Source organism: Homo sapiens, chromosome 16 (assembly GCF_000001405.40).
Source record: "Homo sapiens chromosome 16, GRCh38.p14 Primary Assembly".
In the NCBI taxonomy this organism is placed as follows: Eukaryota; Metazoa; Chordata; class Mammalia; order Primates; family Hominidae; genus Homo; species Homo sapiens.
Genome location: NC_000016.10, coordinates 62474626 through 62488583, shown reverse-complemented (window position 1 = coordinate 62488583; position 13958 = coordinate 62474626). Strand labels below are relative to the sequence as shown.

At 41.0% G+C, this 13958-nt stretch overlaps 1 annotated feature.

Moving 5' to 3' along the window:
• Nucleotides 10742-11242: an enhancer, noted in NCBI's record as "H3K4me1 hESC enhancer chr16:62511246-62511746 (GRCh37/hg19 assembly coordinates)". NCBI's record gives its function as "activates a minimal SCP1, AML or CMV promoter by ChIP-STARR-seq in primed H9 embryonic stem cells {active_cell/tissue: H9 hESC(primed)}" and the evidence as "EXISTENCE:reporter gene assay evidence [ECO:0000049][PMID:30033119]".

The window sequence follows — 13958 nt, the reverse complement described above, 5'->3', positions numbered from 1 at the left end:
ACATGTATACATATGTAACTAACCTGCACATTGTGCACATGTACCCTAAAACTTAAAATATAATAATAATAAAATAAAAAAATAAAAAAGAAATAAAAAAGAAATTGGGTGTGTATTCTAATTTTGTTCTCCTTCAGTATTGTGCTGGATATTCTTGGTTTTTTGCCTTTCCATATAAATGTTAGAATTAGTTTATCTACAATTTACTTTTCAGGATTTTGCTTAGGATTACATGGACTCTATAAAGTTGAGAAAAACTGATACCTTAAAAATATCTAGTCATCCAATCCTGGAATACAGAATATCTGTCTCTTTATTTTGCTCTCATTTTATTTATTTCTTCAGAGTTTTGTAGTTTTCAAAATGTTAGTATTGGTCATATTTTGTTATATTTATACCTATTTCAAATTTGTGGTACAATTTTAAATGTTATTATTATTTTTATTCTAAATTTCAAATTATAATGATCAATTCATGCCATGCAAAAGAGGAATTAACTATTGTATATTGACCATATATTTTTTGACCTTACTATCTTCACTCATTAGTTTCAGGATTTTGCTGTTGTTGTTCTTGTAGATCCACCGCTGTGTTCTACACAGATAATTATGCCATTTTGCTAAAGAGACAGTTTTACCTCTTCATTTTATTTACATACCTTTTTTTTTTAATGGACTATTTAGTCATTGTTTTCTTACTTTCCAGTCTCAGGCAGAAATATCCAGTATCTCATCATTGAGTATGATGTTAACTGTAGAGTTTTGTTTAGATGTTCTTATCAATTGAACAAATTCTTTTCTATTCCTTATTTGCTGAGAGTTTTTATCATAGGTGGGTGTCACATTTTGTGAAATGTGTCTTCTGCATCAATTAATACAACTGTATGATTTTCTTCTTTAGCCTGTAAATGCGGCGGATTACATTGACTGACTTTTGAATTTTGAACTAGTCTTACATATGTGAAATAAATCCCATTTGATTGTGGTATATAATTATAAATTATAATTATATAATTATCTATTTATAAATACGTGGATTTGATTTGTCAATATGAGGAGATTTGTTTTATGTTCATGAGAGATATTGGTCAGTAATGTTTCTTTCTTATAATGCCTTTATCTGGTTTTGATATTAGGATAATCTTGGCTACATAAAATGAGTTAGGAAGTGTCCACTCTGCTTCTGTTTTCTGGAACAATGATAGAGAATTGACATTATTTCTTTCTTGTGTGTTTGGTAAAATTCATATTAGTACAACCATATGGGCCTAGTATTTTCCTTTTTGGGAGGTTATTAATTATTGATAGGTGGTGAAAATTTAAATATCAGAGAGTTAGGACCAGAGTCAGCAATATAGTACCAAGACATATTCCATAAATTGTTATGGAGAAGAGAAAATAAAGCACCTCACATTGGGATAGGTTCTCCAAATAAGAGACTAGGGTATATATGCAGAAATAACATATCATGGAGGGATGGCAGGAAGGAAACGGAGAGAATGGCAGATAAAGAGAGCGTGCTACCTTATCCTTTTACAAGATCAGATAATAAGTTAAAGCGAAAAAGAAAGTGAGTGAAGGAAAGTCCTAGACCTGAATCCCTTTTTTTCAAGTTTCAACCAATTTGAGTTTGTTTCTTTTCCTTTCTTCATAAAAACAGGATAAAAATAATTATTTCATGGATTTTTGATGAAGAGTAAATGCATATATATATATATATATATATATATAGAGAGAGAGAGAGAGAGAGAGAGAGAGAAATAAACACTGAATATACTACAAGTATAAATTTTCCATGTTTGGTACCATTAAATGATGCTTTTTTGAAGAGATATTTATCAAATTTACTCTAAAAGAGATAGATGTAACTTCTTAGAATATGTTTTCAATATTCTCAGTCAAATGTCATATAATCGTGTATACAAAAAAATGTAGGCACAGTAAAATCTAAAATCAGTATTTCCAGGCAACTGTTTAGGTTCTCTGAAAGCATACCAGTGTAGTTTTATAAAAAAAAATTTTTTGTATGGATTAGCTAGTCAAATAACAGTACAGATTACATGCAATGTTTTAAAATATTTTTAGTGCATTACACGTTTTAATTTCTAACAGTATTATTTATTCATCAAAATCTAAACTCCTATGTGTTTTGTTTTTACATGCTACATTTGGAATATTTAAAATTTCCCCATTTTAAAAGCTACTTATTTATTTTGGGGGAAGGGGTTAACTATTTATAATCTAGGCAATTATAAGGATAAAGCACGAATGTATTCATATGTAGAGAGAGTCTTGCTCTGTTGCTAGGCTGGAGTGCAGTGGTGTGATCTCGGCTCACTGCAACCTCTGCCTCCCTGGTTCAAGCAATTCTGCTGCCTCAGCCTTCTGAGTAGCTGGGACTACAGGCACACACCACCACGTCCAGCTAATTAGTGTATTTTTGGTAGAGACAGGGTTTCACCATGTTGGCCAGGATGGTCTCGATCTCCTGACCTCATGATCCGCCTGCCTCAGCCTCCCAAAGTGCTGGGATTACAGGTGTGAGCCACTGCACCCAGCCAGTATTCAGTTATTTAAGGTTTTTACTGTAACCTTGCATCCTAATCGTCTGATGCCCACTTAAACATTTTTAAATGGTTTGTTTGTTTGTTTATAATTTCTATTTATATTTTAGATTCAGAAGGTGCTTGTGCAGGTTTGTTTGTGGGTATACTGTACGATGCTGAGGTTTGATGTGCAATTGATTCTATTACCCAGGTACTGAGCATAGTACCCAACAGTTAGTTTTTCAACCTTTGCCCTCTTCCCTGTCTCCTTCTTCTAGTAGCCCCCGAGGTCTATTGTTGTCATCTTTATGTCTGTATCAGCACTCAATGTTTAGCTCCCACTTATAAGAGAGAATATGCAGTATTTGGTTTTCTGTTCCTGCATTAATTCACTCAGGATAATGGCCTCCAGCTGCATCTATGAGGTGATGGTCTGTTAATCATGTCTTTCTCTCTGTATTAATCCTAATTATATTCTCAGCATGTATTACCTCTGACTCCTAAATAACTTCAAGAGAGAATTTCCAAAGAATGATCAATAGTGAATTCAATCAATTTGTAAGAGTTTTATATGAAGACACTATTTAGAACTGCTTTCCCTCGTTAGGCAGTAGTTATTGATAATGTATTTTTTATGTATGATTAAATTTGCTATGTGATAAGCAGTATTATAGCTACAGAATGTATTTTTTTCTTCAGAAGTACCTGTGATCCTATTACTATTCATTGGGAGAAGTTTTGAGTAAAGGCTATTAGCCTCTTTGTAGCGTGAAAATGTAGGATTATTGAGGAAGGATGACTCGTTTATGAATCCTGCTATTCAACAGACACATATTTTTACAACACTAACATCTATTATAACAGCTGTTCAGTAATTAAGACATGGGCTTTGCTCTCATAGAGCTTTAAGATTGCTAGGTGAATGTGGCATAATAAATATATATTTGGTCTCTGCCCCTGTTACTGACATGGAGGTCTTACATTCCTTAGAATTTCTTGGGTAATAAGGAGGATGTTTTGTTCTAGTGACACAACTCTTGGTGAGTTCCTGGATAGCTTCAGGATGGGAGCTAGTTACCAGAAGGTTCAAGCCATGTTCAGATTGGAACTTTTGGCCTCAACTGCCACTGCCCTTTCCAGGGAGGGAAGGGGGCTGAATATTGAGTTGAAAATCTGTGGTGCCTAGATGATGAAACCTCCATAAAAATCCCTAAACTATAATGGGATCCAGAGATCTTCCAGCTTGGTGAACACATCCGTGTGCTAGGAGGCTGCACAACCCAGTTTCATAGGGACAGAAGCTATTGTGCTTGGGGCTCTTCTGGACCTTACTTTATGTCCCCCTTTATCTGGCTATGTCTTTGTAGGCTTTGTAATATCCTTTATTATAAGCCAGAAAAATGTTTCCCTGAGATGTATGAGCCATTATAGCAAGTTACGGAACCTGGAGAAGGGGAATTACTAGAATTGCCAATTTGTAGCAATTTGGTCAAAAGTATAGTTGACAACCTGGGACTTGTGATTGACATCTGAAGTAGGAGGGGGGCAGTCTTATGGGACTGAGACTTTAACTTACAGGATCTGCACTGACTCAACATGTAGTGTCAGAATTTAGTTAAATTGTAGGACACTCACTTGGTGTCCATTGAAATTTGGAGAATTGGTTAGTGTGGGAGTCTATCACACTTTGATGTCAGAAGTAAAGTGATACAAAGAATATGTATGAAAAAGTTTTATTTTTTTCTTTAGTGAGACTCATGCATGAACAGGAAACTTTGTAACAATATCAAATAAAATGAAAAAAATAGCAGTGAAATTTACTCAGAACCAGGGTGAATAAATTTCACCAGCTTAGGGGAAAAAGTTATGGAAGTTTTCCTAGAAGAGATGACATTTTAGTTGAATCTTGAAGGATAAGAAATAGAAAATAAAGAGAAAAGGACAAAAATGGAAAAGAGTTTGTGAATACGGAAGCAAAAAAATGCACAGTGTGCTCAGAGTTTTTATGCAGAATGTGTGAAGCAGAATTTGGTCAATACAGGTATGTGGGAAGCAGTCAAAATGAGAACATTTGATACTTGACTGTATTATTTAGGAAATGGGTACCAGCCCAGGGTTTTCAGGATTTGGTTAGCTTAGGGAGATTTTTGTTTTTAAATTTTCAGACTTGAGGAAAATCATAAGAGAATAATGTCAAAGAATATTATGGAGTATCCAGCATGGAATATCTCTACCTAATGACTGGACAGAGAATACATAGAACCTAGTGTTGTTCAAGAAAAAACAACAACAACAAAAAACTTCAGGCCAATATTCCTGATGAACATAAATGCAAAAATCATCAACAAAATAATGGCAAATCAAATCCAGCAGCATATCAAAAAGCTAGTCTACCTTGCTCAAGTAGCTTTTATTTCTGGAACACAAGATTGGTTCAACATATGTAAATCAATAAATGTGATTCATCACATAAACAGAACTAAAGACAAAAACCACATGACTATCTCAATACATGCAGAAAGGCTTTGATAAAATTCAATAATGTTTCATGTTAAAAATCCTCAAAAAACTAGGCATCAAAGGTACGTACCTCAAAATAATAAAAGCCATCTATGACAAATCCACAGCCAACATCATACTGAATGAGCAAAAGCTGGAAGCATTCCCCTTGAAAACGGGAACAAAGCAAGCATGCCCACTCTCAATCCTTCTATGCAACATAGTCCTGAAAGTCCTAGCAAGAGCCATCAGGCAAGAGAAAGAAATAAAAAGCATCCAAATAGGAAGAGAGAAGGTCAAACTATCTCTCTTCACAGACAGTATAATTCTATATCTAGGAAAACACCAAGAATGTCCTAGCTGAGAGCCAAATCAAGAATGCAATCCTGTTCACAATAGCCACAAAACAAATAAAATACAGAGAAATACAACTAACTATGGAGGTGAAAGACCCCTACAACAAAAATTACAAAACACTGCTGAAAAAAAAATCAGAGATAACACAAACAAGTGGAAATACATTCCATGCTCATGAATAGGAAGCATCAATATTATTAAAATGGCCATAGTGCCCAAAGCAATTTATAGATTCATTGCAAACCACCAACCAAACCAAATGTTTGATATTCCTATGACCAATGACATTTTTCATAGAATCGAAAAAAAAATTCTAAAATTTATTTGAAACCAAAAAGAGCCCTAATAGCCAAAGCGATCCTAAGCAAAAAGAACAAAGCTAGAGCATTACACTACCCAACTTCAAACAATACTACAAGGGAAAAGTAACTAAAACAGCATGGTATTGGTACAAAAACAGAAACATATACCAATGGAACAGGTTAGATAACCCAGAAATAAACCTGCAGATCTACAACAATCTGTTGTTTGAGAAAGCTGGAAATAACAAACAATAAGGAAAGAACTTCCTTTTCAATAAATGGTGCTGGGATAACTGGCTAGCCATATACAGAAGATTGAAACTGGACCTCTGCCTTTCAACGTATGCTAAAATCAACTTAAGATGGATAAAAGATTTATGTAAAACCCAAAACTAGAAAAAACACTAGAAAAAAACCTGGGAAATACCATTCTGGACATCGGTCCTGGCAAAGTCTTCATGATGAAGACTCCAAAAGCAATTGCCACAAAACAAAAAAATAACAGATTAACCCCAATTAAACTAAAGAGTTTCTGGACAACAAAAGAAACTATCAACAGAGTAAACAGACAACCTACAGAATGAGAGAAAATATTTGCAAACTATGCATCCAGCAAAAGCTGAATAGCCAGAATATGTAAGGACCTCAAGAAGAAATAACAACCCCATTAATAAACTGGATAAAGAACATGAAGAGACACTTCTCAAAAGGAGACATACATGAGGCCAACAAACATATAAAAAATGCTCAATATCACTAATCATGAGGGAAATTCAAATCAAAACCACAGCAAGATACCATCTCACACCAGTCAGAATGGCTATTGTGAAAAAGTAAAAATAACAGAGGCTGGTGAGGTTGAAGAGAAAAAGTAATGCTTATACACAGTTGGCAAGAATGTAAATTAGTTCTGCTGCTGCGGAAAGCAGTCTGGAGATTTCTCAAAGAACTTAAAATAGAACTACCATTTGACACAGCAATCCCATTACTAAGAATATACCCAAAGGAATATACATCGTTTGACCATAAAGATACATGCATGTGTATATTTATTACAGCATTATCACAACAGCAAAGGCATGAAATTGATATGGGATCCTTAGGATGTCCCTTTGCCAGCTGGAAACCTCTGTGGCTGGTGGCACCTCTGCTTGAATTTTGCTTCCACCCACTCAGCCCAGCAGGTTGCATTTGGCTTTTTCTACTAGTCCCAATCCCACACTTGCCAAGGAAAAGCCAAGCATGGAATGGCAAGGGATGTGAGAGTGAGTGAGCATGGGGCCTGGCCACTGTGCACAGCCAAGAACTCTGGCTGCTGTGGCAGAGTGGGCAGCTTCCAGGTGCCACCATGAACCACCGCTGCCATCAATCACCCCTCAGAAGAGATACATCTAACTGCCATTAAGATAGCGACGATGACTGCTCTTAACTGCCTCATGTTGACAGGGGGCACGCTGTTTTGGGAAAAAGACAGTCAGATCTCTCTCAGAGGCCTGTCAAGGGTCTCCATGAAAAGGGAGCCATTGTCCAAGGCTCTGTTTGCAATACCATTTGGAGTTTGATGGCCTGAAGGCAAGAAGAGAAGACAGCGAGTTCTTAAAAGACATGTATCAAAACAAAACAAAGGGGTAAAGACAGCTTAAAAATCCTGAGGCTGCTTACACACCCAGATAACTGGTGGCTATAGTTATGCCTGCTAAGACTTGGATGCATGGGGCTTGGCTTTGGTTAGCTCCCTTGATCTTTTTTTTTTTTTCCAAATAAGGAACCTCTGGGTTATTGGCACCATGTTTACCCCCATTACCTGGCAGGATTTGCAGGATAATTGCTCAGAACTAAAATATTGATACAAATTTTGGTATTATTTTTATTTTGACAATCCTATGTAACTTAACATGCCAAATAATCTTGTTTCCCTTTCTTTTGGATGCTTTGGGGGCCCTCTGTAGCATCCTAAAGTTAGGGGTCAGAAAAGACAATTTTTAGCTGCAATTTGATTTTGGAAAGCCTATCAAATATGTTAAAGGTTTAAAACACTAGATATTATGGAAAATAATTCCAGATTACCATAAGTTATTTATTTAGCCAAACTGATGACTCGATTTTTTTTTTTTAAAAATCAAAAACCTTAACTCATTAAGAGGGAAGACTTAACTTTCCAAACAACCTGTCTTTTGCTTCTTTTTTCAGTAGCTTATTCAAAAGGCAAACAAAAATCTTTCATTATCCTTTACTATGACATGAAAACCTTATTCAAGAAGACAGAAAGCAAAATTTCAACGTTGCATTAGTCTGCTATTAATATCAACCCCAATTTTTAATAAAACCTTACAGAAAAATCTATCCAACCTTAATCAGTTTGACCATGAGGTGAGATTCTTATAACACTTTTATAGCCCTTTACAAATTTTTGTTAAATAGAAGATCAGTGACTTAAGAAAACTCTGTTGTGCTTTTATTTCCATGTTCAATTTATGGAAAAACCAAATAATACCCTTTTGAATTTAGTCAGTAAGTGCATATATAGAATTTCTTTTACAAGATTAATTTCTATAAACCTTCCACAACTTATTTAAACCTTTAGCTTTATCTTAACTAATTTAAAACAATTATTTAACCCTCTAAACAAGGTAAAAATTTACATCCCATGCCTTCTTATAAATTATGCAGGTCAAGTATTAGGCTGGCTAAATGCTTTAAGGTCATAAACTGCTTCTTTGGCTTTTGAAAATTGTTTGACACACACACTTTACAGTTTGGTAAGTCTTGGGGATATATGGAGTTAACCACAATCTTAACTACGCTGGAAAAAGTGAGACCTTATCTGCTTCTAGTACATAATTAAAATAACTTACCAGGGTTTACACCAAAATTAAACATTGCTAATAGTTACCATTATAACATGTAATTGAGATAACTGAAAATAAGTGTACTTGCAAGGCGTGTAAGGAAAGTAAAATGTGTTTTTGGTAAAATATTTTAAGAAGGCATGGAAATGGAAATATTGGCTTTGTTCCAATCCAGTTTCCTTTCATGGAGATCTAGCTGTTGCACAGGATTGGAGTAAGGTCCTGGGGTAACTGAAGGCATCTGGCTGAGGCCACACCTTGGCATTGCGTGAAGGCTCCTAGACTGGCTCCAGTCCCCAAAAGCCCATTACGGTATAATATTGTCTCTGTGCTTTGCAACAACATCCTTAACATTGTATGTAAAGACAGGATAACACCACCACAGTCTTGAAAGACAGAAAGAAAGTGCAACGGGAAGGACTGGAGGTCCAAGTACCAACTGGATTGGAACAAAGCCAACATTTCCAACACCCAAGGGTGATGGAGGATTGCCAGTTTCCTCCCCAGCAAGCTTATTCTCGGTGTCTTAAGTTCAGCAGCTGAGATAGTTCTTTTAACAGGCCGACAGAGGCCCTGTGTTTTTCTTTCATTTTGACTATTGTGGAGTTTAGGGACTCCGAAAAAAGGACAGAGAGTGGCAAGTCTGCTTTAACTCACCCTTCTGCAGATCCCCGACGAGCCCCTCCAAATGTCACAGGACACTTAGCTTGTGGCTTTGCCAGCCAGAAACCTCTGTGGCCAGCAGCACCTCTGCTTGAGTTTTGCTCACACCCACTGGGATCATTCCACTCACTGAGTCCAGCAGGCTGCCTTTGGCTTACACTATCAGCCCCAAGCTTATGCCTGCCAATGCAAGCCAGGTGTGGAGTGGCAAGGAGTGTGTGAGTGAGCGAGCATGGGGTCTGGCCACAGCACACAGTGAGGCACACCGGCTGCTGTGGCAGGGCAGGCAGCTCCAGATGCTGACACAGGTGCCAGCTTCATGCAAGGCTGTGGCTGGACCAGACATAACTCAAGTGGCTTTCGCTGTGGCCACCAGCATCTAGATGAGGTGAACGCAGTGACACCCAAAAGTACAGAGATGCCAAGAACTGCATAATCCCAAAGAGGGTGTTAGAGTGTATCTTGGGGAGTCCCAAGGTCTAGGCTCCCAGAAGGGCCACAGCTCTTCTCTCCTTCTCATTGCCCACAGTGCTGTGAGAGGTTGGGGAGTGTTTCGGGGGGTCATGTTTCAGCCCATTTGTGTTAAGCTCCTTCAGTCCCACCACCCTGCTCCAGCCTGCAGCTCCTGGGTTGGCCCAGCCATACCACTGCTCCTGTCACATGGGGCAGCTGCCTAGCGCTGGAAAAGGGCAGGAGGGCTATGGTGTTAGAGCATCTCTGGCTTGGGAAATCCCAAGGTCTGGTGCCCCAGCAGGGTTGACACTCTTTGCTCCCACTGTGGAGTGTGTCACCACCTGCAGGTTGGCAAGCTGGCCAGGAATATGTTACAGCTCCTTTGACTCCCGCCATTTGGTGGATCCAAAGTTCTTGTCCCACGTTGAGGAAGAATGAGGTTATGTGGACAACTGCAGGGTGAGCAAGGTGGAGAGGTGCTTTACTGAGTGACAAAATGGCTCTCAGGAGACCTGAAGTTGGTAGTTACTATCTGCAGGCAAGTGTCTAAATCTGACTGAGTCAGGGGTTTTTATGGGCTCAGAAGGGAGGAAGCGCATGCTGATTGGTCCATGGGCATCCATCGGCAGGCCTGAAAAAAGCACCATACCACTGGCCAAAAGGCATCAATGAAGTTCTTACTCCAGGTTGCAGACTCCACACAGAAGTGACAGCCCAGCCCCAAAGGCTTCAGGCTGTCTCTGGCTTGAAGGTGTGGTTTCACCAGGAACTCACCCCTTCTTGCCTAGGGACCTGTCTGTCTCCCACCACCGTCAACATGCCATCCATGGTGCCCAGACTATATCTGTGCCATGGGGCACCTGCATGTTCACGCAAAGCCACCCTCAGCCCCAGGGCCTCCTTCTGCACTTGTCAGTGCCCAAAGTCTAGAGGGGGCCAAGGAGGCAGGGGGCTGGCATATCAGCACTACCTTGAACATGCACACACCCGGCCAAATCACAACAGCACCTGGGCTCAGCCACAACTTTGCTCCACACCAGAGCTGGCACTGGGAGCAGGGAGAGTCCAGGGAGCAGGAGCAGGCACTTACAAGCCTGCAGGGCTTCCTGATCCCCTGAGAGCACAGGGATGCCTGGATCTGGAGCCCCAGCTGGGCAGCTGCAGCTGCAGTCAGGAGCGTAGGCTCCTGCCCCACCCAACTCAGTAGGGGGTGGGGCTCCCACTGGGATTACCTGTTTCTAGCCCCCATCAGCTCCACAGAGTGTATAGCCCTGGACACACCTCCCCTGCTGCAGCTGGCATCATGGCTGCAGCCACTCCAGATGGTCAGCCAGTCCCATTGGAATCAACCTAGATGCCTATCAATGGTGGACTGGTTAAAGAAAATGTGGTATATATACACCATGAAATACTATGCAGCTGGGCTGGGCATGGTAGCTGATGCCTGTAATCTCAGAACTTTGGGAGGCCAAGGCAGGCAGATCACCTTAGGTCAGAATTTCAAGACCAGCCTGGCTAACATGGTGAAACCCTGTTTCTACTAAAAATACAAAAAAATAGTTGGGTGTGTTGGCGGTCACCTGTAATCCCAGCTGCTCAGGAGGATGAGGCAGGAGAATCGCTTGAACCCAGGAGGCAGAGGTTGCAGTGAGCCAAGGTGGCACCATTGCACTCCAGCCTGGACAACAAGAGCAAAACTCTGTCTCAAAAAAAGGAAAAGAAAAGAAATACTATGCAGCCATAAAAAAGAATGAGATTGGGAATCGACAAAGATAGTCAGCTAGAAGCAGATACTGTACCCACTCTCACAGAGAGAAATAGAGGGGGCAAGTATATACAGCACCTTCAACTGAAACATCCAGGTATGCACATTGGGATTCATCAAAAAAACAGTTCAACCCACACAGCATGAAGAAAAGCAAGGCAGAATGACCACCCACTCAGGAGTGACACGGAGCTAGGGGAGCCTCTCCTGCCCAGGGAAGTGGTGAGTGAGTGAGCAACCCTAGGACTCACACTTCTCCCACAAATCTTTGAAACTCTCTGGTCAGAAAATTTCCCTGTGAATTCACCCCACCAGGGCCTGCAGTCTGACATGCAGAGAGCTATGTGGAGTCTTGGCAGAGCACCCACTCAGGCACATGTGGAGCCCCAGGAGCTTTAGATACCTGGGCTTCCTGGCAAAAGCAGCTGCAACTTTGGCAAAGCAGGAGGTTAGACCTGTATACGTACCCCTAAGAAAAGGAATCCAGGGGGCTTAGAAGGGATAGTCTGCAGGCCCTGCTTCCATGGTACCTTGCAGAATAAGTCCCACTGGCTTGGAAATCCAGCCAGCTACGAGTAGCAGCATTACATCTCCCTGGAATGGAGCTTCTAGAGGGAGGGGCAGGCTGCCATCTTTGCTGTTTCACAGCCTTAGCGATTGTTGCCTTTGGACTCTAGGGAGTCTGAAGTTACTAGGGAGTGAAGTGATCCCCTGGCACAGCCCAGCAGCTCTACAAAGAAGCAACCAGACTGCTTTCTCATGCTGGTCCCAGATCCTATTTCTCTTCGCTGGGTGGAACCTCCTGACCCAGGTCTATAACCACGCCCACTGGTGTTTTCCAGCTGGCAGCAGTTTCAAATCTCCCTGGGACAGAGCTCACGGGCCACCATCTTTGCTGTTTCACAGCCTTAGCCTTTGTTGCCATCAGTCTTTGGAGAGTGCAAAGAGACCTGGGGCTGGATTGGACACCCAACACAGCACAGCTGCTCTATAAAAGAGTGGCCAGACTGCTTTTTTAATGCAGATCCCTGATCTTGCTCCTCATAACTAGGCCAAACTTCCCAACTAGGGTCACCAGCCACACATGCCGGTGTTTTCCTGCAGGCAGAAGTTTCAAACCTCCCTTAAATAGAGCACCAAGAGGGAGGATCAGGTTGCCATTTTTGCTGTTTAGCAGTCTTCACTGTTGATGCCTTCAGGTACTGACAAATCTGGGGTAACTAGGGACTGGAGCAGGCACCCAGCATACTGCAGCAGCCCTATAGAAAAGTGACCAGACTGTTTGTTATGTGGGTCCCCTTATCTCCTCACTGAGTGAGTCCTCCTGCTCTTGGTATCCAGCCAACTCCTGCTGTGGCTATCAACCCAGTAGCAGCTCTGCAACTCCCTGGGACAGAGCTCCTAGTGGGAGGAGTGGGATGCTCTCTTTGCTGTCTCACAGCCCATGCTGTTGCTGTCTCCAGGCTCTGGAAAGTATGCAGGACCAGGGCTGCTCAGGATTCCCAGCAGAGAGCACTCACCTCATGAAAAAGTGGCCAGGCTATTCTCCACACAGGTCCTGGTAGTCACTCCTCCTCACTGGGCATAGCTGCCTGACTTGAGACTTCAGCACAACCACCCTGTCCCTACCTGACTACTTCAATAAGAATCAGTCCAGCATTACCCTGAGGAGGAGTTCCAAGAGTCAACCCACAACCCTTTTGCCACTGCCGTTGCAATGGTACCACCCTGTATTAGTCCATTCTTGCTCTGCTACAAAGACCTGAGACTGGGTAATGTGTGGAGAAAAGAGGCTTAATTTACTCACAGTTCTGAAGGCTTAACAGGAAGAATGACTGGGAGGTCTCAGGAAACTTGCAATTATGGCAGAAAGCAAAGGAGAAGCAAGCACCTTCTTCACATGGTGGCAGGAGACAGAGAGAGAGAAAGGGGAGAAGGGTCACACTCTTTTAAGCAATCAGATATTGTGAGAAAACACTCACTATCACAAGAACAGAAAAGGGGAAATCTGCCCCTGTGATCCAATCACTTCCCACCAGGATTCTCCCCTGACACATGGGAATTATAATTTGATATGAGATTTGGGTTGGGACCCAGAGGCAAACCATGTCAGTATGCCTTTGACCCCTCCAAAATGTCATGTAATTCTCACATTTTAAAGCCAATCATGCCTTGCCACAGAACACCCCAAAGTCTTAACTGATTACTACATTAACTCAAAAGTTCAAGTCCAAAGTCTCATCTGAGACAAGGCAAGTGCCTTCCACCTATGAGTCTGTAAAATCAAAAACAAGTTAGTTACTCCCAAGATACAATGGGAATACAGACATTGGGTAAATGTTTCCATTGCAAAAGGAAGAAATTGGCCAAAACTAAGGGTGCACACACCCATGCAAGTCTGAAACCCAGCAAGGCAGTCATTAAATCTTAAGGTTCCAAAATAATCTTCTTTGGCTCCATGTTTCATATTCAGGGCATGCTGATGCAAGAGGTGGACTCCTAAGGCCTTGTACAGCTCTGTCTCT